We start from the raw sequence: 27,375 nt of genomic DNA, 5'->3' as shown, positions 1-27,375 counted from the left end.
GCTAGCCAGCTCTCGAGTTTAAGTCACTCCTCCCCTAGAAAGGCAGGAGTGATGAAGAAGCCAGGACTGGTACCATATCTCCCCACCAGCCAGACAGCAGATTGATTGATCATACCAAGCCCTTTTAACCACAGAAAGGGCAGTTTTGTAGCCTCATGGAATAGAGATTCATTCTGGACTTAGACTTGACTTTTCCTGCCCACCAGCCTCTCAGGAATGTCTGCTGACTTACTGCATGCCTCGTACCACTTATATACCATATGAAGCAGCAAGGAGTACAGAAAAAATCTGGGGAGACTACTCTCAAACCAAAGTAGTTCAAGAAGGTTCCCCGTGATAATTGCATGGTTTCTTCCACAAAGCCAAAGGGTGAATTGTCCAGGATAGCTCTTCTGTATGCCCAGCATCCGTTAAATAACAGCACACTGCATGGTTTTGGTGGACTATCCTGACCCCATTCCTTCTGATCACCATCCCTGCCCCTCCCTCATGCCAGCAAAGGACTAATTACATGGTTTGGGGTAGACCAGTCAGACTTCCTCACCCAAGAATTTGAATTTTCAGTAGAGCAATACATGGATTGAAGGTGTTCAAAGCCCAGTCATTCTTATGGCCACACTGAGAAAAGGCAGTCTATTATTTCCCCCTAGTGAGATTAACAAGTCTTCTTTGATTGCTGTCCTACTAGAAGGACTGATAACTCTTTACTCACTATTTTAAGCTACACAATATTATTCCAGTAAGATCCAGTTTCCCCCTTAAATTAACCTGAATGAATTTAAGTTACTTGCAAGCAGAGAATTCTAGCACAAATGTGTTTTCTTTTTAATTTTCTTTTTTTTTTTTGAGACAAGGTCTCACTCTGTTGCCCAGCCTGAAGTGCAGTGGCACAAACACAGCTCACTGCAGCCTCAACCTCCTGGGCTCGAGTGATCCTCTGGCCTCACCTTCTTGTGTAGCTGGGATCACAGGCAGGTGCCACCACACCCAGCCAATTTTTTAATTTTTTGTAGAGACAGGATCTCAATATGGTGCCCAGGGCTCAAGTGACCCTCTTGCCTTGGCCTCCCAAAATCCTGGGATTACAGGCGTGAGCCACTGTGCCTGGCCTAGACATGTTTTTTTGTTGTTGTTGCCCTGTCAGAGATATTGATGACCATTCCAAACTCAAGAAGACTTATTTTCAAGGGAATCTATCCTATCACAGCTGAACATATGGAAAGTTTCTGTCTGTATAATCATAACATGATACAAATGGGAACTCACTTTCTCAAAAAATTCTGATTTAAGTTCTTTATTCTATTTTTTCCCTCATCCCATCATGAGGAAGCGCATAAAGGGATACGTTGGTCATTTGCCTGTCATCTTGAATTAGTCTTCAGGGATCACTGGGAAAGAAGTCAATTTTCATTTTGGTTTATAACCACGTTTTGCCTTTTATTCAAGAACCATGAGGTCTCTTCTCCATGCAAGGTCTTCTTAAAATTTCTCTGACTCTGAACTCCCAAGCCACCTTAATTCATTCAATAATTGATGGGCCATTTGTAAGTGTCAGGTACTGTTTGGGGCATTTGGCATTCTGTGGGGGACAAATCAGACATGGTCCCTGCCCTCATGGAACCAAGAGTATGTGTATATTTGGGCTGCCATAACAAAATATCTTAGACTGGGGAATTTATAAACAACAGAAATTTACTGCTCACAGTTCTGGAGGCTGGGAAGTCCAAGATCAAGGTGCCAGCAAATATGGAGTCTGATGAGGGCTTGCTTTCTGCTTCAAAGATGATGACTTCTTGCTGCATCCTCACATGGCAAAAGAGGCTAGGTAGCTCCCTTGCACATCTTTTATAAGGGCACTAATCCCATTCATGAGGGCTTAGCCCTCATGACCTAATCACCTCCTAAAGGCCCCACCTCTTAGTACTGTTGGATTGGGGTTTGAACATCAACATATGAGTTTTGTGGGGACACAAACATTCAGACCACAGCAGTATGTACGGGGAGGAAGGCAGTAACAATATATCTCCCAATATACATTCTCCTGTTCTTGCTAAATGTTGACTGGTTATGTGGCTATTTAGAAGAAGTAAATATTTTCTCAGCTTCCCTTGCAGCTAGAAGTAGGCATGTGACTAATGTCTGGTCCATGGGATGAGCACAGTAAAGGTATGTGTGATTTCCAGGTCACAACCAGCCTTCTACTCTCTCCTCCCCCTTCCCCACAGGCTGGAATGTAGAAATAATGGTAGGAACTGGAGCAACCATCTTGGATCAAAAAAGGGAAGCCATGTATTGAAGATGTCAGAGTAATGAGATAAGAGCTTATGTCTGATGATTCTTGACTACCTATCCAGGCTTTTACATGAGAAATAAACATCTGTCATATTTAAGCATCTATTAATTGGGGGCTCTTCATTACAGGAATGAAACAAACAAATATTGGGAAATAATTTAAAGCTCATGGGAAAGTTGCAAGAATAGTACAAAGATCACCCATCTTCACTGATTGGTAACATTTCTCCTATTTGTTTTGTCATTTGCACACTCTATTATATATATACCTAATACATTATTTTTATAACCACTGGGCATAGATTTCACACATCACAAAGCTCACCTCTGAATACTTCAGTCTGTGTCACCTAAGAATAAGAATTTTCTCTTACATAACTGAGGTACTATTATAACCTTTGCACATTTAATATTGACACAGTGCTTTTATCAAATCTGTCAATATTCCAATTTTATCAACTTGCTAAATACCCTCCATTTAAATATTCTTTTTTTCTCCAGTACAGTATCCTTTCTAGGGCTAGGACCAGGCCTGTGTTTAGCAGTTGTAAAGTAGCCTCCTTTAATCTGGAAAACCTCCTCAGCCTTTCTTTGGTTTCTAAGTCACACTCTGACACACTTTGGGGTTTGGGGGGCCATTTTCCTATGAATTAGATTCAGGTTATGCAGTCGTTCCTGGAATACCACATAAGTGATTCTGTGTCCTTTCAGGACCTCACGTTTTAACCCACAAGAGATCCATATGCCATCACTGGTGATGCTAGTTTTGATCCACCCAGTCAAGGTGGTTGCCTGATTTACCCACTGAATACTTTCTGGTTTCCCTCCTTGCAACTAATAAACAATCAGTGGGAGACACTTAGATAAAGCAAGTAAGGAAGGATTGGGGAATATTTTGATTGGTCCATGATGGGTCACATGTCTACTGCAGAACCAATCCACAACTGGGGGATGTAGGACTCTTATTGGCCCAGCCTGAGTTGCGTGCCTGGCCCTTCCCAGTGGAAGGTCCCAGACTCTCCCTAAAGTTAAACAATGAAATTGTGGAGTAAGTCTGTGGTTCTCAAATGGGATTGAACGATTTGCCCTCCAGGGGACATGTGGCAATGTCTGGAAACATTTCTGGTTGTCACAACTGAAGGGGTGATGCTACCAGCATCTCATAGGTGGAAGCTGCTCAATACCCTATAATGCACACGACAGTGTCCCCACCCCCAGGACACAGAATGAACCGACCCAAAATGTCAGTAGAGCCAAGGCTGAAAAACCCTGGAGCAGAGGAAGGATGGTTCTGCAAAGGAAGGGGGACAGAGCAGAGACCCAACCCTCCAGTCTACTCTGATGCCTCGCAGCTGAAAATGCCAGCCTGGTGAAGCTGAAAGCCCAGACTCTGGGGTCTAACTGCCTGGTCACAAATATTGCCTCTGCCACTAACAGCTGTCAATCTTGGGTTATTTCCTTAACTATTCTGTGCCTCAGTTTCCTCATCTGTAAAATGGGGCTGGTGTTAGTACCCCCGTTACGGGGTTACTATAAGGTTTAAGTGAGTGCATTACTTGTACCATTCTTGGAACATGCCTATTTTACAAATGTTTGTAACATAACTGATTGGAAATTTCCACCCTTGAAGAAGGTTAGATGCACACTTCTAATCCTAACCCTCTGCCTGTCCCATTCTAATCATACTGAGTGGGACAAGTTAGTGAAGCTTTCTTGTCTCAGTTTCCTCTTCTGTAAAATGGAGAAATAACAACAGAGGCTACCTTGTGAGGGTTACATGAGATCATAGTACGTCAAGCATGTAGAAGAGGAAATAACCATTAGGTAGGAATAATAGTCTTGACAGAAATCGCTACACCTACTCATTGCTTACCTGAAGACTGCGGTCTCCAGGTAGCATGTGGGTGCTATCTTGTTTCTAGGCTTTGAGAAGTAGCTTCAGTAATGGAAGATATGAATGCTGGTCCCTCAGTTGGATTGACTGAGGCAGCCCAATTCTTGGGACAACTTTCTTTAATAGCACCTTTGCCACCTGATGTGCAGTGTCAGTGCAGGTGGCAAAGGCTTCTATCCACCCTGAAAAGGTGTCAGTGAAGATCAGGAGGTATTTAAAGTTTCCCAGGCCTCTGGGCATAACTATGAAAACTTTCTCATCTTCCCCTGGACATCTACCTTGGAACTGGACCAGCTGAGGAGCCCTCTCTGAGTTCCTCTCACCCCTGCTATCCCCACGTGGGGTGGGTATCAGGGGTTATTAACATAGTAGGTGGGATGAGTCCCAGCCACCTTTTTGATTGACTCCCTGAAGTTTGGGACAGTCATGCTTTCACAAAATCAGTTATAAAGGATTTCTTCACCAAAGTGGGTGTTAGAGTGAGCCTTTTTAATGGCCTGCAGTGCAACTGTTTTTAGGAAAAGAAATTGTCCACGAGGGTTTATTAGCCATCCTGGATGGTCAGGATTTTTGGTATAACCCCATTTGGTCGCCTTTTTCCATTCCTTTTGAGAGAAAACTGGGGTTAAAAGAGCAGGACCCAGGAGGAAAGGCAAAAGTGGCATTTGGAATGTGACCTTCCCTAAAGCTGCCTGTTTTGACCCTAGGTTGGCTTTATTATTTTCTTTAATTACCTCAATGTCCCACTTCTGGTGGCTTCAGCAACGGACTATTGCCATGTGGGCTGGTTTTCTTCCAGCTTCCAATAATCTTAAAATGATGGCACTAACGTTTAAGAGTTTAACCTGCCCCTTTCCTTCCAAATAGCCCCATGTGGGTGTAAGATGGAATACACGTGCCTGGAATCAGTGTATACGGTGAGGACTTTCCCTTCCCCAAACTCTAACGCCTGGGTTAGAGCAACAAGCTCTGCTTTCTGTGAAGAGCATCCTGGCAAGAGAGCGCTGGCTTGTATAACTTCAGTGGGAGAGAACATAGCACATCTGCCCTCCTCTGTTCCTCTTGCAGATAGCTGCTCCTACCAGTGAACCATTGGACTTCCACATTTTCAGTAGGTTCACTTTTAAGGTCTGGGCTACTGGAGTACACTTCACCATCACCTCTAAGCAGTTGTGAGATAGGTAACCATCTTCAGATGGAAAGAGGGTGGCAGGGTTCAAGCTGTTACACACCTTCAAAGTTATGTGGGGGTCATCAATAAGCATTACCTGTAACTGGAGAGCCTTGCCTGGGGACAGCCCTTCTGCCCCCTTTCTTTTATGAGGGTCTGGGTATGGTGGGGAGTCCAGACAGTTAACTTTTTTGTCTCTTTTGAAAGGGTGGCCATGGCCATCCCCAACCAAAGGCAAGGTGGCCATCCTTTAGCAACTGAGTCCAGCTGCTTGGAAAAGTAGATCATTACCCAGGTCAGTGGGTCCAACCTTTGAATATGTATTCCTAGGGCAATTCTTCCCCTCTCATGAACATAAACATGGAAAGGTTTGCTTAAATCAGGTAGGGCTAATTCTGGGTCTCTCGTGAGCTGGGTTTTTAGCTTTTGGAATGCTTGGTCACATTCTCCCATCCATTCGAAATGGTCAGATCCTCCAGCTTCATGGCTAGGGCCTCTCCAGATATTTTGGGGAAGTTTTTTGAACACCTGGGTCAACACAGTAAATGTCAGTTGCTGTTTCCTGCCTGTCTGAGGATCCTGCCATTTGAAAGTGAAGAGAGGCTGAGAGTCTGTGGCCAGTGGAATGCAGAAAAAGTCATCTTTTAGATCCAGGACTGAGTACCATGTACAACTTGGAGGCAGAGTGGACCATAGAGTATAAGGATTAGGTACCCTGGGTTTCTGTTTTCTGTGACCTCATTAATTGTCCTTAAATCTTACACTAATTGGTATTTTCCATTTGATTTCTTAACACGGAGGATAGGAGTACTGCAAGGGGATTGACAGGCCCTCAGAAGTCCCTGTTTTCTAAGCTTTTTAATCATTGGGGCCATCCCTTTTAGTGCATCTCGTTTGATCTAGTTTATATTTTAGGAGCTCAATAAAGGGGCTATCTTTTGCCTTCCCTCACGTTTCCATAGTCAATTTTGGTGGGTAATTTTATCCTTGAGGGTATTCAAAACCAAGTAGGTGGCCCCCTGTGTTGACCAAGAAGTCAACAGGCTTGTTCCTCATGCCCAGTGTCAGCCTGGGCTCCTGGGGGATGGACACCTGGAGGGCCAATTGAGGAGTCCCCAGGACCTGTCATTTTTACTACTTGGACCATCTGCCTCTGTGAGGCACCTGGTGGAACCTGCCCTCTTCCCCCTCCCTTCAGACATGAAGGAGACAGTCCCTTTTCCAGTGATCCTCCCCCTTATAGAGGGCATGTTGGTTTGGTCCTAGTCCCTTAGGTCTTTAGGATCCTTTCTGTTAGTTAGGGGACCTGGGATCACTCTCTTCAGCTGTGGTACTTTATGGATAGGTATCCTGTGAGTTATCCAGCTGGCACTTGAGGGCAACAGCCAGTAGGTGGGCTTGCCATTTGTCCTCTCTGTCTTCTTTATGTTCTTCATCCCTATCCCGGTTGTTGGACACCTTATTGGCCAGGTCTACTAGTCTTGAGATGAGAGCATCGAGCTCTAATTTTACTTTTTGGAGTTTATGTCTAATGTCTGCTGTGCTCTGAGAGCTACAATAGGATTGTTTGTCTCTTCTCTATGGGATTGGTCCACTTCCTCCCTTGCCCTTTTGAGAGCAGAGGTATTTTTCTGTTTCACTGAGGAGAATATTAAAAGGGACTGGACGTCTGCCCAGTTGAGGTCATGGGTCTGAAACTATTCTGAATGAGGTTTTGAAACCCCTCAGGATCTTCCCTTAGTCCTTTAGAATGAGACTTTCCGTTATAAAGCTCTGAAGTTGTGAAGGGAAAATGTACAGCAAACATCTCTATTTCCGCACTGGGGATCTGCTGGAAGGGGCATCATAGAGTAAGGCTGGTAAATGTCCTGCTCCAGGTAGTGGCTGGGCTGAGTCCCTCAGCAGAGTCTGAAGGGGATTGGTAAGGAGGGAGTGTGTTGCCTGCAGAGGCCACTGAGGATAAGGGAGCTATAGGTCAAAGATTATAGAATTAAAAATCAAAACCTCTTACAATCTCATTAATAGTAAATTAATACCATAAAGAGACCGGGAGAGGTGGCTCACACCTGTAATCCCAGCACTTTGGGAGGGCGAGGCAGGTGGATCACGAGGTCAGGAGTTCAAGACCAGCCTGGCCAACATGATGAATGCCCTGTCTCTACTAAAAACACAAAAAAATTAGCCGGGCATGGTGGTGGGCACCTGTAATCCCAGCTACTCGGGAGGCTGAGGCAGAGAATTGCTTGAACCTGGGAGGCGGAGGTTGCAGTGAGCCGAGATCGTGCCACTGCACTCCAGCCTGGGTGACTGAGCAAGACTCTGTCTCAAAAAAAAAAAAAAAAAAAGTAATACCATCAAGAAACCTTGTTTTAACATAGGGGACCAATCTCAGAAAGACTATTATGAATAATTTCTTATTAATTATAGCCAACTTAATCATATACAAAATTCCTTTTATAAATTTTCTTCCACAGACTTGATCATGAACTTACACAGACCATCTATGACATGCTTGGACCTTTTGATTTGTTCTATCATACCTCTTTTAAAATAATCGGTCATTTTATTTTAGGACAAAACTTTACCACATGAAATCCTTTTCTTATATAAAATTATTTCTTTTCTTACCAAAAATACATCTTTATGTCTAAAAATCTTTTCTCTCTTTCTCTCTCTTACTTACTGGTTCCTTTCTACCTTTTTAAATAAATAACTTTTAAATAACCTCTAAACTACATAAAATTATTGTTTTCTCAATAAGAATACAACTTACAGAGTTATATATTATTGCAATTCTTACTTTTAGTAACCTTAAATTTTAGTGAAAACTCAGGAAGCAATAAATCTTGAACTGTTTATCAGATGTTAGCATTTTATAGCTGAAACCATTCTGTAATTTTTAGAAACATGTTTTTTTCATATTATAACCCATTTTTAATTGGAAAACACCCAACATCTAATGAGTATTTATTATTCAAGATAATTATAAGATTTTAAATTACATGAAAAGTCTGTCTACAAGCATTTTTCCCATTTATATGTACTTAGTTCTTTCATTTTTTTAAGGATTCTTTTTTTTCTATTGTGAGGTCAAATTTACATACATCAAAACATACAGATCTTAAGGATATTATTCAATGAGTTTTGGAAAATATGTACACCTGTGTAACTCAAATCTCTATTAATATACAAAACAATATTGTCAATCCCAAAATTCCCTCTTGCTCCTCATCAATCAGTCTCCAACTCTGTCTCCTTAGGGGCAACCACCAATTTATTTTCACCACACATTAGTTTTGCTTGTTGTAGAATTAGCATGAATGGAATGACACAGCATGCATTCGTTGTGTAACTCTTCTTTCACTCAGCATGTTTTTCTATATTCATCCATTTTATCGCATGTATAGGCAGTTTGTTCCTTTTTTGCTGAGTGTAGTATTCCATCGCATGAACCTAGCATACTTTGGTTATTTATTCTACTATTGATTGACACCTGGGCTGTTTCCAGATTTTTGGCTATTATGAATATAGCTGCTAAGAACATTCATGTACAAGTATTTCTTTTGCATGTGTGGCCATATGTTTTTATTTCTCTTGGGTAAATACTTAAAAATGAAATCACTGGATCAGGTAGTAGGTATATGTTTAGGGTTTTTTTTATTTCCAACTTTTATTTTAAGGTCAGGGGTACATGTGCAGGATGTGTAGGTTTGTTACATAGGTAAATGTGTGCCATAGTGGTTTGCAGCACAGATCATTCCATCCCCTAGGTATTAAGCCCAGCATGCATTAGCTATTCTTCCCGATGCTCTCCCTCCCACTCCGCACCCTGCAACAGGCCCCAGTGTGTATTGTTCCCCACCATGTGTCCATGTGTTCTCATCATTCAGCTACCACTTACAAGTGAGAACATGTGGTATTTGCTTTTCTGTTCCTGCATTAATTTGCTGAGGATAATGGCTTCTGGTTCCATCCAGGTCCCTGCAAAAGACATTATCTTGTTCCTTTTTATGGCTGCATGGTATTCCTTGGTGTATACGTACCATATTTCCTTTATCAAGTCTGTCATTGATGAGCATTTAGGTTGATTCCATGTTTTTGCTATTTTGCAATGAACATGCACATGTATCTTTATAATAGAATGATTTATATTCCTCTGGGTATATACCCAGTAATGAGATTGCTGGGTCAAATGATATTTCTTCCCCTAGGTCTTTGAGGAATCACCACACTGTCTTCGACAAGGGTAGAACTAATTTATACTCCAACCAACGTATAAAAGTGTTCATTTTTCTTCACAACCTTGCTATCATCTGTTGTTTTTTGACCTTTAAGTAATAGCCATTCTGACTGGTGTGAGATGGTATCTCATTGTGGTTTTCATGTGCATTTCTCTAATGATCAGTGGTGTTGAGCTTTTTTAAAAAAAATGTTCATTGCCCACATAAATTTCTTCTTTTGAGAAGTGTCTGTCCACGTCCTTTGCCCATTTTTTAATGGCGTTGTTTTTTTTTCTTGTAAATTTGTTTAAGTTCCTTGTAGATGCTGAATATTAGACCTTTGTCAGATGGATATACTGCAAAAATTTTCTCCCATGCTGTAAGCTGTCTGTTCACTCTGATGATAATTTCTTTGCTGTACAGAAGCTCTTTAGTTTAATTAGATTCCATTTGTCAATTTTTGCTTTTGTTGCTACTGCTTTTGGCATCTTTGTCATGAAATATTTGCCTGTGCCCATGTCCTGAATGGTATTGCCTAGATTTTCTTCTAGGGTTTTTATAGTTTGGGTTTTTACATTTAAGTCTTTAATTCATCTTGAGTTGATTTTTGTATATGGTATAAGGAGGGGCTCCAGTTTCAACTTTCTGCATATGGCTAGCCAGTTCTCCCAACACCATTTATTAAATAGGGACTCCTTTCCCCATTGCTTGTTTTTGTCACATGCACACACACACACACAAAGATCCAAAAGCCTTTACCTCAGTATTTTAGCCATGAGATGCAATACGAACTCACCATTGTATAAAGATAGCTGGATCCAAATTATTTCCAACAAAATTGGAACGTGTTCACATGGCTAAACTTTGTTTGCCCTGATAAGTAATTCAATGAAAGCTGTGGACCAAAATTTTGGGTAAAGCAGTCTTCATGGCAGTTTTGATTGTAAAAACTTCTTTTTCATTTTTTTCTTCAGTTTCAAAGAAGTTTCCAGTGTTCCCATTTCAGTTAGATCATAAATAATAAGTGTTATTTCAGCACCAGCAACTTAATAACAGCAGATTCAAAGCTGGCAGAGAAGAAAAGAAAGGAAGATATGGAGCTTTAGAGGATTCTACTTAACTCTGTAGCAGCAGATTAACCATTTAAGCTCTAAATTTTCCTTACTGTGCACAAAACCGATATTGGCCATTGCACTCAGGCATCCCTGGTGTCTTATTGAGGCTAGTGGGCATCACTGGCACCCTGTCTCAGGTAGTCTCCCATAGGTACCTTAACCTCATAATGGAGATTTCTTCCAATCCCCCAAAAGTGGTCCCTTAAACTCACAGCCTCTGAATCATCCTCCTTTTGGTAGAGCAGCCAAGGCCACCTTGTTTTTAGGGCCTCAGGGAGGAGGAAGAGGAGGAGGAGGAGGGGAAGAAGGAGGAGAAGAAGAAAGAGGTACTTTTAAGACGGGGAGAAATCCAAGTTCCTCCAGTGCATGGAAATTGACATGTAGGAGGTTTTCACAGGCATAAGAGAACAAACACTAACAGGAATAAACAGAAAGAAATAGAAAAGAACACACACACATAAAAGACTTGCTGGTAGGTCATTTCCTGGTTCTGTAGTCTACACTGTCAACCCTTCAATTCCTCTCTCACCTTTCTAAGGATGGTTTTCTTTAAATCAATATAATAATAAATTTTGTCATGCTTTCAGCTCACCCTCACATAGTCACAGCTTATTTATTTATTTATTTGTTTATTTATTTATTTGAGACATAGTCTCACTCTGTTGCCCAGGCTGGAGTGCAGTGGGCAGCTCACTGCACTTCACGAGTTCAAGCCATTCTCATGCCTCAGCCTCCTGAGTAGCTAGGACTACAAGTGTGCACCACCACACCCAGCTATTTTTTAAAAATATTTTTAGTAGAGAGGGGGTCTCACCATGTTGATTAGGCTGGTCTCAAACTCTTGACCTCAGGTCATCTGCCTGCCTCAGCCTCCCAAAGTGCTGGGATTACAGGTGTGAACCACCAAGCCTGGCTGAGCCACCGTGCCTGGCCTCTTTAAATCAATAGAATAATAAATTTTGTCATGCTTTCAGCTCACCCTCACGTAGTCACAGCTTAGTTTAGTCTTTACGTAGACAAGACCCCTAAAAACTTAAAACAAAGATGGTGTGTTTGTCTGCTTGCTTTCTGACGACACCCTACTCTGTAATGGAATAGCTTCTAATAAACTTGCCTTTTTCACCATGCTCTGTGACTTGCCTTGAATTCCTTCCTGTGTGAGATCCAAGAACCCTCTTTTGGGGTTTGGATCAAGACCCTTTTCTGGCAACGCTTTCATTTGCCTGCTCTTTGTCCCACTCATTCTGGGCATATGGTCAGCCTCCCCACCCCCCACTGCCTGGGGGACCTTTAGTGGACTCACTGAGCAAGCTCACCCCAGTTGTCCATGGGTGAGCAGCCAGAGGGTAAGCTTTGCTTGGTCATTTCTGGGCCTAGAGGACTGACCCGCTCTCCAGCGGGGATCAGCCTCCAGCTTAGAGGTTCGGGCATGAGTGGAGCCAACCTGCAGCAGTGGCATCCAGCTTCGGGGATGCCACTGTTCTGTCACTCTAGCCTGGGTGACAGAGTGAGACATCATCTCTAACAAAGTTAAAAAAAAAGAAAAAGAAAAATTTGGAAGAAAATTCCACCAAGTTCCAAAAACCACAACTTAAATTTGCCATGTGTGCTGCGTACTGTCAAATCCGCAAGAATGATGTGTAGGTACTGTACTAGGTAATGTAAGTAATCTAGAGATGATTTAAAGTATGCCTAAGCATGTGCATAGATTATATGCAAATACTATGCCATTTTACATGAGGCTTCAGCGTCCACAAAATTTGATACCCTGGGGGGTCCTAAAACAAATCCCCCAGGAATACTGAGGGAAGCCTTACACACATATACATATACATTTCTTCTACAAGTATAAAGAAACATTGGTGGGGCACTTCAGATCAGTTACAGTGGTTACGTATGTTTTGGGGGTAAAATTTTGGTGAATGGTGCACACGTGGTGTGAGGAAGGGTTTTCACTGACTACCGCTTATTTTCAAATTTTTGAAATTAGTTTGTTATTTTTTATTTTTACCACTTATCCTCAAGTTCTAAGTAACATATTAACTCTCCAAAACTTACATAAGGCATTAGTTTTTTTGTTGTTTTGTTTTGTTTTTGTTTTTTTGAGGTGGAGTCTCGCTCTGTCGCCCAGGCTGGAGTGCAGTGGCGCGATCTCGGCTCACTGTAACCTCTGCCTCCCAGGTTCAAGCAATTCTCCTGCCTCAGCCTCTCGAGTAGCTGGGGTTACAGGCGCCCACCACCAACAGAAGGCGTTAGTTTTAAGAAGGAAGGTCACAGGAGCGCCCTCCTACGTCGCCGCCCTTCTCCTCGCCGTACCAACCCTATCCTCGTGTCTCACAGGGCACTTGGCCAGGAGCGGCTGTGGTTCCTCAGCCCGTCCACCGCAGAGCGCACGCGCAAGCCAGCCACGGCGCATGCGCTGCTGGTTTTGGTCAGGGCGTGGAGACGTTCAGCCAGGCCAGGGCGTGAGGCGTGCGAGGTAAGTTCGCTGGGCCCGGGGTAGGATAGCGGCCGGCGAGCGGGTAGCCCAGCCAGGGGCCTGGGCGGGGCTGGGGCCCCAGTGGACTTGAGGGCGCAAGAGGCATCCAGCGCGGGGCAGCGCGCGGCTTCGTGAGGAAGACTCCGCGGCGGGCCCTACTGGGGCCTTGTGGTGGAAAAGCCACCCCAGAGGCGAGGGCTGCGTCTGACTGCCCTAAAATCGGTGCCCCTGCAGGGAGGGACCCAGGACGGCTCTGCGCTGGTGGGCCTGGAGCCCACCCCAAGGCCGGAGGCTGAGGCTTGAGAATCACTTGAGCCCAGGAGGCAGGGGTTGCAGTGAGCCAAGATTGCGCCACTGCACTCCAGCCTGGGCGACTGAGCGAGACTCTGCCTCAAAAAAAGAAAAAAAAGAAAAGAAAAAAAAGAAACACCCCAATGTAAAGAAGCACAAAGGGCGTGAACAATTTATAATTGGCTTGTAAATCTGAAACAAAGAGAAAGCCGTATTATTAATCAAAAGAAATGTAAAATTAAAGAATAAAATGATATATTTTTCAATCTGTCTAATTGACAACAGATTTTGAGGGATGATAATGCTCTTGATTGGCAGAACCAGTTACATAATTTGCAGGGCCTAGGGCAAAATGAAAATGTGGGGCTCCTTGTCCAAAAAATTGTGAAAAATTTCAAGAGAGTGACAGTAAAGCATTAAACTAGGCCTGTGGGCTTTATGAGAATGGGGCTCTTGTGACTGCCCTGATTACAAGCCCATGAAGATGGCACTATTGGCTTGTAAGGTGGACTGAGTGAGACATGTAATCTTATACATTGAGTTTGGAAGAAGAAGTTGGTAGCCGTTGAAAGGAAAATTTGGCAGATTGTGTCAAGAACTTTTAAAAACAGTTTATCCCTTTTGTCTATGTAATTTGGGAGCAAATACTTAGTTTCAGTGATGTTCATTACGTTATGATTTCTAATGGAAAACAAAAATAAATGCTTTCAAATGGAAAAACTGTTAAATTATAGAAATAAAAGGCGTAAGTTTTAGTGGGGATAAGAAAAGAAAAAAATGTTTTCCCCAAGTGGCATCTTTGTTCATGGTTTCTTAGAGTGAGTGTAGCCTTTATGGAAGGTATGTTTTATTTCTGTGATTACAGAAGAAATGAAGGTTTGTTGTAGAACATCTTGAAGCTAGAAAATAGTTTTGAGAGAAAGTACAAAATCACCTATAAAAATCACTTATAATATTACCGTTCGTACTTAACCCACTGGCACAGTATTTTGGTTTACCACCTTTTCTCTGCTTTATATGGGTAAGCATATATTGTTATGTACAGGTTTCCTTTTTCCGCTTGATATTATGACTAGATGTTTTCCTACAACTATAATACAGCTAATAAATGTTTAGCAAAATATACATATGGAAAAGGGCACAAACCACAAATGTGTAGCTCAGTTTTCAGAAAGTGAATACACTGTGTCCACATCATTCCTAGCTTTCCAGAAGCCCTAATGCCTGGTTCCAGTCATTACCACCCTTCCCCCCAACAGCAGCCACTATTCTGACTTCAAACACTTTAGGTTTATTTTGCCTGTTTTTGACCTTTATATAAATGGAATCATATAATACAGACCTTTTTTTTTTGAGCCTGGTTTCTTTCATTCAACAGCAACTTAACATTCATATTTTCTGTTTAGCATTCCAATATACAAATATATCATCCTACTGTGGCTCTATTATCCTTGTCAACACTTGGTATTGTCTGACTTTTTCATTTTGGACATTTTGGAGGGTGCATAGTGTTATCCTATTGGGGTTTTAATTCCTATATCTCTGATAACTAATGAAGTTTAGCCTTGTTTTATGTTGATTGGCTATTTATAGCTGTCATCTTTTGTGTAATACTTGTTCAGATCACCTTCACTCCACTGTCCAATCATAACTATGCAGGCTAGTTGTAAGTCTGTATGTAATTTCTGCAGGTCCTGAGGTTTCTGTATCCTTTCAGCTGATACAGCCCTGCCTACCGTCTTCCACAACATTGTGTACTGGAGCAGCCTGCCTTTAAGAGTAGCTCTGTCCTGTAAAGGGCCAAGGTGTAGAGATGCTGGATGTGACAGGGGTTTCAGATATCTTGAGGAATCCCTACATCTTTTGTGTGTGTGGTCAAGAGAAGAAACTAGAAACAGAGACACTGAAAGTTTCTCATCAAAAGTTTGGGGATTTTCAGTACCTGTCAGTGAATGGGCCTCATCAAGCTGTGAGCCAAATCCAGGAGCTCTGTTTGCAATGGCTGCAGCCAGAGATCCTCACCAAGGAGCAGATGATAGAGCAACTAGTGCTGACACAGTTTCTGAGCACCCTGCCAGAGGAGATTCAGACATGGGTGAGGTCAAAACAGCCCAAGAACAGCAAAGAGGCAGGAACCATGGTGGCAAACTTTATTCAGGCATGTGAGAAGGAAGGTGAGAAGGAGGAAGCAACTGGCTGCTTCTGTTTATTGAATATCTGCTGTATGCCTGGCACGTAATAGGAGCTAAATAGAAATTTTGTTGAGTGAATGAATGAAAGAATGCATTTTATACATTCAGTCTGATCTGCCTAATCTCATGTGAGATGAAAGAAATTTGGTGTTTGGGTTATTTTAAAATTTTTATTTTAAGTTCAGGGGTGCATTTGCAAGTTTATTACATGGGTATATTGGATGCTGCTGAAGTTTGGGCTTCTAATGATTCTGTCACCCAAGTAGTGAACATAGTACTGGATAGGCAGTTTTTCAACCTTTGCCCTCCTTCCTCATTACCCCCTTTTGGAATTTTCCGTGTTTATTGTTCCCGTCTTAGAGTCCATGTATACCCAGTGTTTAGCTCCCACTTAAAGGCGGAAACATGTAGTATTTGGTTTTCTCTTTTTTTTTTTTTTTTTTTTTTTTTTTGAGACAGAGTCTTGCTCTGTCGCCCAGGGTAGAGTGCAGTGGCATGATCTCAGCTCACTGCAACCTCCACCTCCCGGGTTCAAGCAATTCTCCTGCCTCAGCCTCCCGAGTAGCTAGAATTCCAGGGGCCCACCACCACGCCTGGCTAATTTTTGTATTTTTAGTAAAGACGGGGTTTCACCATGTTGGTAGGGCTGGTCTCGAACTCCTGACCTTGTGATCCGGGTGGATCACCTCAGCCTCCCAAAATGCTGGAATTATAGACAAGAGCCACCGCAGATTCTGTGTTAATTTGCTTAGGTTAATGGCTTCAGCTGCACCCATGTTGCTGCAGAGGACATGATTTCATTCCTTTTTATGCCTATGTGGGTTTGGCTTTTGCTTTTAACATATACTATTTCTCTGAGTGTATCAGCTTTGTTCACCTTGCCTCACATTTCTTATCCAGTGTAAACCTTAGTTGCAACATAAAACAAGACAGACACACTACAAAAAAAAAAAAAAAACTCCTGGGATTGCTTGTGGCATTAATATATTAAGTGTAAATTTGGGAAAATTGGTCTTTACATTATTTAGTCTTTCTATTCAAGAACAAGAATGATTAGCTAAATTTTAGATGCAAGGGGGCATAAAATGTGGGAGATACAAAGACTGGAAGTTCAACTTCTGCCAAAATTTGACTGGTATCTTAGAAACTCAAGTTATTAGATTAGAGCTAAGGAGGCATTTCAAGAATGAGAGAAGAAAGCCACTGGGTCCTTATAGTGCTTTGAAACAAATAATACTAACTAAAAGCAAAGTATTGTTTGGGGCATATATATAGCAAGGGAACAATGAATACTAACACCAGACCTCAGGGCATACTTATCTCTAGAGGGAAGGCTCGAGTATGGACATGAAAGAAGCACACAGGCAGATGTAAGTTATTGGGAATGTTATACTTTTGGGTTGGATAGTACATTCACAGGCCTTAATTATACTTAAAAATATAAACAAATGAATTTAAAATAACCATGAGAGCCATGCATGGCTCAATAAAGATAGCATATCATGAACTAAGGATTATGATTAATCCCATTCTGTGCTCCCACATTACTTAAAAGAATTTTTAAAATGCTAATAGTGAACACTTGAGCACTTAGAATGTTTTAATGTATTATCATAGGTGTTCTTTCATGTTAATTCATTTTCTTCTATTAATAGCTCTGTGAAATAGGTATTACCTTCATTTCGTAGACCAGGAGACAGAGGCATAAAGAGGTTGAGTAACTTGACCATGGTTCCACAACTTATATTAATAATTGGCAGTCAGGATTCAGACTTAGGCTGCTGGCTTCAGCATCTGTACTCTTAATCACCGTGTTACATGAGTGCCTCATATGGATATAGTGGATGTTGTCCCAGAGGCTAAAAACTTGGCCAGAGGCACTGAGTTATTGATGAAGCTAGAGTTCAGTGAGAAGGAAAGAGAGTTCCCTAGGGTACCAGAAAGAAAAAACAGATTAATGAAGGGTTTACCGAGAAAAGAGAATATATAGGCAAGGAAGGCCATCAAGGTTAAGGCTCCTGGAGGGAAAGGGGTGGTTGTCTTTTAGATCAACGAGTGAAAAATATGTAGGAAAGGCTTAATCATAAGAGCTGCCATTTACCAAAAAAATACCTACTGTGTGCCTTACATATGTAATGTTTAATTCTCACAAGAGCCCTTAGAGGTATAGTATACTCCCCTTATCTGAGGGGCATACATTCTAACACACTTGAAAGTGTGGATATTATCAAACCCTATATATACTATGTCTTTTCCTCTACATACATATCTGTGACGAAGTTTATTAATTAGGCACAGTACGATATTAACAACTAGTTATAAAATGGAACAATTATAACAGTAGGTTAGCATCACTACTCATGTGCTTTGGGGGCATTATTAAGTAAAATAAGGTCTACATGAACACAAGCACTGTGATACCGTGATAGTTGATCTGATGACCAAGACAGCTAATAAGTGACTAAGGGGTAGTGTATACAGAGTGGATACACTGGACAAAGGGATGATTCATGTCCCAGGTGGGACAGAGCAGGAAAGTGTGAGATTTCATCACCAGAATGGCACACAATTTATAACATATGAATTATTTATTTCTGGAATTTTCCATTAAATATTTTTGACCCCCAATTGACCATGGGTAACTGAAACTGCAGAAAACAAAACCTCAGATAAGTGGGGACTACTGTATAGGTATTGTCATTATTTCTGCTTTACAGTTGAGAAACAGAGGTTCTGTGGTGATCTTGACTGGACAGTGAGGCCCGAAATGACTGATATGGAGGGAACTTTCACTTTATTTGGAAGGCAGTGGGAGCCATTGAAGCATTTAGAGCTGGGAAATAACCAGAGCTCTCTTTTGGAACTTGTTATTTTGAGTTGAGAAATGATATCTGACTTTCTCACCATAGGAACTCTAGAGCTGCTGTTCCTTCCCATGGCAGGACAGGGTGGCATGAGGGTGGCTGGCCACTGTGTCTGTCAGTGCTACCAGACAGGACTCAATTCCATGGTATTCCTCTCTCCCTTCTAGGTTTCCTTGCTCAGGACTCTGTCCCTGCAGAAAAGAGGAACACAGAGATGTTAGACAATCTGCCATCTGCTGGGTCCCAGGTGAGTCAGGCTTTCCTCTGACATGGTTATCAAATATGGGGATCTTATCTTCCTAATTTGTGGACTTCCTTATTTAATTAAACCACATACTCATTTCCATTAAGTTTTTATATAAATATCACTTTACTGAGCCTTTTTTCTGACTAATCTGACATTTGCTTATGATTCTTTTTTTTCTTATTTCTCCAAGAAAAATCCTTCTGACTCTTTTATCCTCCTTCCGTGCTTTACTTTTCTCTGTTGTACTTATCACCATCCCACATACTATATATTTAATATTTTTCCTTTTTTTCTGTCTTTTGAATTAATTGTTTACTTATTTTTTTAGTATTCTATTTTATTCAGAAAAACCCTTGTGTGGTTTGCATTATTATTGTTCCCCTTTTTATATATGAGGGAGTGGAGGCAGAAAGACTAAATAATATGCTGAAGGGTAACACAGCTGTTAAATAATACGATTGAGATATGAACCCAGGCAGTCTGGCTTTAGAGTCCACATTCATAACCACTTAGTTATTGCTGCCTAAGGTAGTGCAGTTACTGCAACTTCGGCTGGCCGGATTTAGCAAGTAAATATACACAACATCCAAATTAAATTTGAATTTTAGATGAACTACAAATAAATTTTTAGCATAAGTATAAATAAATTTTTAGCATAACTATGAAGTTTGAATTTCAGATAGACAATTTTTTGCATAAGGATGCAATGTTTCATATTTAAGACATACTTATGTAAAAAACTGTTGTTTATCCAAACTCCTCCAAGCTAAAGGAGCATGTTTTAACCCAATGCAAGGAAGCTAAGAACCTTGAAAAAAGGTTAGAGGAATTGCTAACTAGAATAACCAGTTTAGAGACGAACATAAATGACCTGATGGAGCTGAAAAACACAGCATGAGAACTTCATGAAGCATACATAAGTATCAATAGCGAATCGATCAAGCAGAAGAAAGGATATCAGAGACTGGAGATCAATTTAATGAAATAAAGCATGAAAACAAGATTAGAGAGAAAAGAATGAAAAGAAATGAACAAAGCCTCCAAGAAATATGGGACTATGTGAAAAGACCAAAACCTACGTTTGATTGGTGTACCTGAAAGTGACGGGGAGAATAAAACAAGTTGGAAAACACTCTTCAGGATATTATCCAGGAGAACTTCCCCAACCTAGCAAGACAGGCCAACATGCAAATTCAGGAAATACAGAGACCACCACAAAAATACTCCTTGAGAAGAGCAACTCCAAGACACATATAATCATCAGATTCACCAAGGTTAAAATGAAGGAAAAAATGTTAAGTGCAGTCAGAGAGAAAGGTCGGGTTACCCACAAAGGGAAGCCCATCAGACTAACAGCAGATCTCTCTGCAGAAACCCTACAAGCCAGAAGAGAGTGGAGGTCAATATCAACATTCTTAAGGAAAAGAATTTAGAACTCAGGATTAAGAAACTCACTCAAAACCGCACGATTATATGGAAACTGAACAACCTGCTCCCGAATGACTCAGTAAATAACGAAATTAAGGCAGAAATAAATAAATTCTTTGAAACCAATGAGAACAAAGACACAACGTACCAGAATCTCTGGGACACAGCTAAAGCAGTGTTTACAGGGAAATTTATAGCACTAAATGCCCACAGGAGAAAGCAGGAAAGATCTAAAATTGACACCCTAACATCACAATTAAAATAACTAGAGAAGCAAGAGCAAACAAATTCAAAAGTTAACAGAAGACAAGAAATAACTAAGATCAGAGCAGAACTGAAGGAGATACAGACAAAAAAAAAAACCCTTCAAAAAAAATCAATGACTCCAGGAGCTGGTTTTTTGAAAAGATCAGCAAAACAGATAGACTGCTTACCAGACTAATAAAGGAGAAAAGAGAGAAGAATCAAATAGACACAATAAAAAATCAAAAAGACACAATAAAAAATGATATCATCACTGATCCCACAGAAATACAAACTACCATGAGAGAATACTATAAACACCTCTACACAAATAAACTAGAAAATCTAGAAGAAATGGATAAATTCCTGGACACATACACCCTCCCAAGACTAAACCAGGAAGAAGTCGAATCCCTGAATAGACCAATAACAAGTTCTGAAATTGAGGCAGTAATTAATAGCCTACCAACCAAAAAAAAAAAAAAAAAAACCCAGGACCAGACAGATTGACAGCCGAATTCTACCAGAGGTACAAAGAGGAGCTTGTACCATTCCTTCTGAAACTATTCCAAACAATAGAAAAAGAGGCTCATTTTATGAGGCCAGCATCATCCTGATAGCAAAACCTGGCAGAGACAACAAAAAAAGAAAATTTCAGGCCAATATCCCTCCCAAGGTGGGAGGATCACCTGAGGTCAGGAGTTCGAGACCAGCCTGACCAACATGGTGAAACCCCGTCTCTACTAAAAATACAAAAATTAGCTGGGCGTGGTGGCACATGCCTGTAATCCCAGCTACTTGGGAGGCTGAGGTGGGAGACTCACTTGAACCTGGGAGGCAGAGGTTGCAGTGAGCCAAGATCATGTCGCTGCACTCCAGCCTGAGTGAGAGTGAGACTCCATCTCAAAAAACAAAAACAAAACCAAAAAAGATTTTTAATAGACACATAACAAAATTTGTTCTTCACAAAACCCTATGATACAAAAAGTACAATGACCATTTATAGATCAAGGTCCAGATCAGAGATGTTACCTGTCTTGTCCAATGAAATTAAATAACAGTACAGACCGGGTGCAGTGGCTCATACCTGTAACCCCAGCACTTTGGGAGGCCAAGGCAGGCGGATCACCTTAGGTCAGGAGTTGAAGACGAGCCTGGCCAACATGCGAAACCGCATCTCTACTAAAAATACAAAAATTAGCTGGGCGTGGTGACACACACCTGTAATCCCAGCTACTTGGGAGGCTGAGGCACGAGAATTGCTTGAACCCAGGAGGTGGAGGTTGCAGGGAGCTGAGATTGCACCACTGCACTCCAGCCTGGGCAACAGAGTGAGACTCTATCTCAAAAAACAAACAAGAAAAACAAAACAAAACAAAAAACAATAAAACAGTACAGTACTTGAACCCAGGTCTCTGAACTGCCAGCCCAGTGCTCTTCCCACCCAACACACTATCCATGAATGAAATTGTCAAAGATTTAAAAAAACTCAGCCCCTTAAAACTTAGTGAAATTCAAATTTAACTGGGCATGCTGAATTTTATCTGGCCGTCCTATTTCAACTAAATTTTTGGATTTGGGGATTTGAGACAATGGGGTCCACTGGGAAGCATGGATAGGCTAGAATAGTCCAGAATTTTAAAAAAAGGAAAGGTAGTTATGTCCTACCATGTATTTCCTCCAAAATAATGAATAATAGTTTAATGAAATCATCAAACATAAAACTTTTTTCAGGTTGTACAAGATTATACAAATGATTCTGGTAGTGTCATCATCTGTTTGTTTATTCACCAACGTCTACCGGTGTCAGGCTCTGTTTGAGGGAAAAAAGTGTTCTTAGAACCATATGGGGGTGCCAAAAAGTCACAGAGCAATTGAAAAGGGCCTTTTCCTTGAAAGTCATGTCCTGGAACACGCATTCTTAAGGAGGATATTGCCTTCAAGGGGAAGAAAATTGGTTCTTGAGGGTGAACACATACTATTCTTCTTATGTGTACAGCACAGACATACATACAGTACATACACAGTATATTTGCGATATTAAAATGTATGGGGTACCGTGCGATTCCATTTTTATGAAATATCCAGAATCAGCAAATCCATGGAGACATAAAGTATGTTAGTGGTTGCCTAGGGCTTGGGGTAGGGCGTGGGAAGATGTTGGAGGGAAATGGAGAGTGACTGCTAGAAGGTGCAGGGTTTCTTTTGGGGCGATGAAATGTTCTGAAATTTATTGGGGTGATGGTTGCACAACTCTGTGAATATGCTTAAAAACTCATTAAATTGTATACTTTAGGTGACTTTTATAATACGTAAATTAAATCTCAATAAAGCTGTTATTTAAAAAAATAGACATACAGCATCTGTGGCCCCACTTCCACCAACTGAATTAGAATCTGTGTTTAACAAGATCCCCAGGTGATTTGTGTGCACATTAAAATTGGAACCATCCAATACCTGTGTATGTGAATCAATGCTAATTTATAATTGTTTGAAAAAGTATATCCATGTCAAGGGCTGGAATGTACTTTGCAACAATGAAAATAGTGTAAATGAAGACAACCCCTTCTACCCACACAAAGGGTGTGGCTTATTGTAGGCCTTTAACAAATGGCAGCTCTTATAGGGACATGATACTGTTATGAGGTTTTCTGATTTTTTGTTTCAAAAATGTTCTCCAGTGTTCTTGTTAAGTCATGTTTTAGAAACCTAAAAGACAATAATGAAATTAATATACTCTGCTTTCTTTAGAACCAGAAAAAAATTCATGGGGGTTGTGATTAGAAAAAATGACGTATAAAGATTACTGGGGTGGGGGGAGCGAGGTAAGGAAAAAAGGTTGAGAAACACTGTTCTAGAATATCTGCTCCTGAGAGTAGCCCTCTGTCCCTACCTTGTCTGTGCCAGGGATTCCAAGCAAAGATGCCCTGGAGGGACTACCAAGGGAATATAAATAAGGAATTGGTCTGGGTGGATTATGAGAAACAGGGGGAGTGCCTGTCCCATATATAGGGGCAGCTGTGACTCAGCTTTTGCTGATGGTGCCATGTGAGAATGTGGACCCAGTCCCCAGATTTTCTAATGCTTTTAATCAGAAGCCACAAAACCAGTTAAGAATGACATTTCCTAATTTTTTTTTTTGGTATTGGCAGCTAATACAAATTTTTAAAAAACAATAGGACCACGTGAGCCAAATAAACCCATCTGAAGGAGCTGGGCAGCCAGTATATGATCCCTAATTTAATCCAGTGTTTGTTGATTTGCATAAAAAGTTTTAGAAAGTTTCACTTAAAACACAAAAGATGTATATTAATAAAATGGATATCAGAGTCTTATGTAATGTTCTGGTATCTGCCTTTTTATTTTTATAGTATCAAGGGATCTTATGTGTTTTATTATAAAATTTTAGAGTGTAAATGACTTTAGAGATAATGTAATGGATCTCTTTATTTTAAAGATGAGACAATGAGAATCAAAGAGATTAATTAACCCATGCCTTACAACTAGCTAATAGCAGAACTCAAAACTCCTTATTCCAGTGTAGGTTTGTTCCCATGATTTTCTCTAATAGTTACAGAGTATGAGATGGAAAAAAGAAAGGAGGGTCAATGGACAGTTAACAGTAGGAAAACATTTGGGAACAGTAAGATAGCAGTCTTAAAAATGCTCTGACTACCACATGACCACCATCGTTTAAATATGACACTGTGACTGAGAAATCATGACCTACCATACAGTGATTCTTACTTGAAATAGATACCTTTTCTACAACTAAATTCAATTTTCTTATACTGAATCAGGTAACATTTCTCTTTTAACAATCTTTTTTTAATATAATAATATTGATTATCCATTATATTCAAGGTATTGTAGCATATTAACTGTATTAAGTAAAATAAAGCACAAGAAAAAAGGTTATGAAAAACTGAGATTGCTCTCTATGCTAAATATTTTGAGTCACAGACTCCTTTGAGAAACGGAATTTTTATCTTCCAGAAAGGTGCACATGCACTACAAAGCTCAGCCTTAAGAATCTGTGATTGCCAGGTTAAGACCTCAGCCTAACAACAATGTACCTTTGGTTTTGAATCATTTTTTTTATTGCCAAAGTATGACTGGAAACAGACAGAAAAATCATTAACTGCTACAACATTTTGAGCAAAATGGCTAGTAAGTTTTAATTTTCAATTTTTGTCATTAACTGTTTATAAAGACTTATTGGATTAGCATATTTGAGTGGGGAGATCCTATGCATTTTCTTACACGTGTTACAATTTTCTATATTCAGATTTGCTAAGGAAGGTAAGTATCCTATTGCCTCAGGATAATGTTAGATTTGAAGAGGTCAGTCTATCTTTTTTTTTCACTTTTATTTTAGAATCAGGGCACACATGTGCAGGTTTGTTACAAAGGTGTATTGCACAATGCTAAGATTTGGAGCATGAATGAGTATGTCACCTCAGATAGTAAGCATAGTACCCAATAAATGGCCTTTTCCAATCCTTATTCTCCTCCCTCCCTGCCTCCTCTTGTATTCCCTAGTGTCTGTTGTCCCATTTTAATGACCATGTATACCCAGTGTTTAGCTCCCACTAATAAGTGAGAACACGTGGTATTTGGTTTTCTGTTTCTGCGTTAGTTCGCTTAGGATAATGGTTTCCCGTTGCATCTGAGGTTTCCGGTTGCATTCCGGTTGCTGCAGAGGACACGATTTTGTTCTTTTTTTGGCTGCATAGTATTCAATGGTGTATACACACCTCATTTTCTTTATCCAGTTCACTGTAGATGGGCACTTGGGTTGATTCCATGTCTTTGCTTCTGTGAACAGTGCTGTGATGAACATATGAGTGCATGTGTCTTTTTGGTAGGACAGCTTATTTTCCTTTGGGTATATGGTATCTGCCTTTTAAATTCAACCTTAGGCTACTAAGATTGTTGTATATAACTGTAGTTAATTGATTTCTATTGCTAGAATACTATTTCATTGTATGGCTATACTATATTTATCTCTTCTACTGTTAATGAATGTTTGGGTTATTTCCAGATTTTGGATGTTCCAAACATGCTATAATAAACATGCCCATCCATGTCTTTAAGTACACATGAGTAAATATACCTAGGAATAGAATTTTGGGGTCAAATAGAGATTAGAAGGGTGGTTCTCAGAGGCTGGGAAGGGTAGTTGGGGGGCTGGAGGGAGGTGGAGATGGTTAGCAAGTACAAAAAAAAAGTAGAAAGAATGAATAAGACCTACTATTGATAGCACAATAGGGAGTCTATAGTCAATAATAACTTAATTGTACATTTTAAAATAAAGAGTGTAACTCTTTATTATCCTTTGTAACTCAAAGGATAAATGCCTAAGGGGATGGATACCCCATTCCCCACGATGTGCTTATTCCACATTGCCTGCCTGTATCAAAGCATCTCATGTACCCCGTAAGTATATACAAGTACTATGTACCCACAAAAATTTTTAAAAATTAAAAAAAGAATTTCTGGATCAAAAGTGATTTTCTAATTTACATTTCCCTTAGCATCGCCAGTGGATCCATGTTTTATATAATAGTTGGTATTGTCCCACTTCTTAATTTTCACTCAATTACTTAATTTTTACCCAATACTTAATTGAATGGGTATAAAATGGTATTTTGTCATTTTGATTTTCATCTCCTTGTTTATTAACAAGATTGAATATTTCTTCATGTTATGAGCACTTTGTTTTACAGGTGGGACCCTGAGGCTTAACCTACCCAAACTCACAAAGAACCAGAGCCAGGACTCTGATTCCTGAGGCTGAGGTATACTGCTGAGCTTTTAAGTATTTGCATGCTTGCATTCTGTCTTTATAAAGTGGCTTAAAAGGATATTTCCCCCTCAACCCAAATCTGTAGTAATTAGCAATAGGAACTGTTTCAGTAATGTTCCCACTTCTCTCAGACTCGATAAGACAAAGAAAGATGCAATGCCAGGTGCCTGTGGCTCTGGATTAGAGCACGTGGAAGCTCTCTGCTGGTCTGAATGCCTGCATCATGTTCAGTCCTCTCTAATCACGTCCCTTCTCCTCTCTCTGGGATAGTTCCCGGACTTCAAACACTTAGGAACATTTCTGGTGTTTGAGGAGTTGGTGACCTTCGAGGATGTGCTTGTGGACTTCAGCCCAGAGGAACTTAGTTCCCTTAGTGCTGCTCAGAGAAACCTCTACAGGGAGGTGATGCTGGAGAATTACCGGAACCTGGTCTCCCTGGGTAAGTATGCCTTCTCCACAGGACTTGGTTTCTTCCCACTAGGGCAGTAGCTCTCAACTCCTTCGTGTCCTCTCATCAGTAATGGTGGTTCACCATGTCAGTGAGTCTCAACCCAGGTCAGAGGCAATATTTTAATATTTGAATATCAAATTCACTGTTAATTATAACATAGCTAACATTTCTTGAGCACGACATATGTGTCAGGCACTTGTGTAAGTGTTTAGCATATTTCAACTCCTTTAATCCTCACACTAGGCCTGTGAGGGGGAGGTATACTTATTGTTGTTGTTATTATTGACATTTTTAACTTTGAGGAACCTGAGTCATTGAAAGGCTAAAGTACTTGTCGAAAGCTGGGATTTAACCCCAAGCAGACTCCAGAATCTGCTCTTTTAAACTCTGATGTGCTACCAGACAGGGGTTTGCTCCACCAGTTCTCAGCACAATGGAAGGCTCAAAATGATGTTTACTGAATGAGCGAAGGAATTGCTAAAAATTCCAGGAGCTCCAAAGACTTCTACTGGCTTGAGTTTGAAGAAACAGAGATTGCCAATCTCTCTTTACGTGCGGAGGCAAAATTGTTTTACCTGTTCTCACAGGTAAAGTTGAAAGTGAAAAGTGAAAAGTTTACGTTGCCAGTGCCAAGCTCCTTTTTCAGTGGCTTTTTTGGGGGCTTGAGGTCTCCTGAAAA

General features: G+C 40.6%; 1 protein-coding gene and 1 long non-coding RNA gene across 16 annotated transcripts in view; one reads left to right on the top strand and one right to left on the bottom strand.

The window, feature by feature from the left end:
• The window catches only part of ZIM2 (zinc finger imprinted 2), a 66,180-nt gene that overhangs the window by 32,090 nt on the left and 6,715 nt on the right, over positions 1 to 27,375 (top strand). For 11 of the 15 annotated variants that reach the window (NM_015363.5, NM_001369774.1, NM_001387358.1 and 8 more), the window contains 2 exons: positions 18,686 to 18,765; positions 26,516 to 26,684. In NM_015363.5, coding sequence (NP_056178.3) covers positions 18,686 to 18,765; positions 26,516 to 26,684 — 249 coding nt within the window. Of the gene's footprint in view, positions 1 to 18,685; positions 18,766 to 26,165; positions 26,238 to 26,515; positions 26,685 to 27,375 lie in introns of all 15 variants that reach the window. The other 4 variants (NR_163141.1, NR_163140.1, NR_163143.1 and 1 more) reach the window with 1 other exon arrangement.
• The window catches only part of ZIM2-AS1 (ZIM2 antisense RNA 1), a 34,325-nt gene continuing 15,940 nt past the window's right edge, over positions 8,991 to 27,375 (bottom strand). Inside the window, exons 2-4 of the long non-coding RNA NR_110744.1 lie at positions 18,559 to 18,709; positions 17,330 to 17,582; positions 8,991 to 10,644 (exon numbers count right to left, since the gene is read on the bottom strand). This is a non-coding gene — a long non-coding RNA (ZIM2 antisense RNA 1). The remainder of the gene's footprint in view (positions 10,645 to 17,329; positions 17,583 to 18,558; positions 18,710 to 27,375) is intronic.

This window comes from Homo sapiens, chromosome 19 (assembly GCF_000001405.40).
Source record: "Homo sapiens chromosome 19, GRCh38.p14 Primary Assembly".
Taxonomy (NCBI): Eukaryota; Metazoa; Chordata; class Mammalia; order Primates; family Hominidae; genus Homo; species Homo sapiens.
This window is presented reverse-complemented; position numbering and strand designations above follow the sequence as displayed.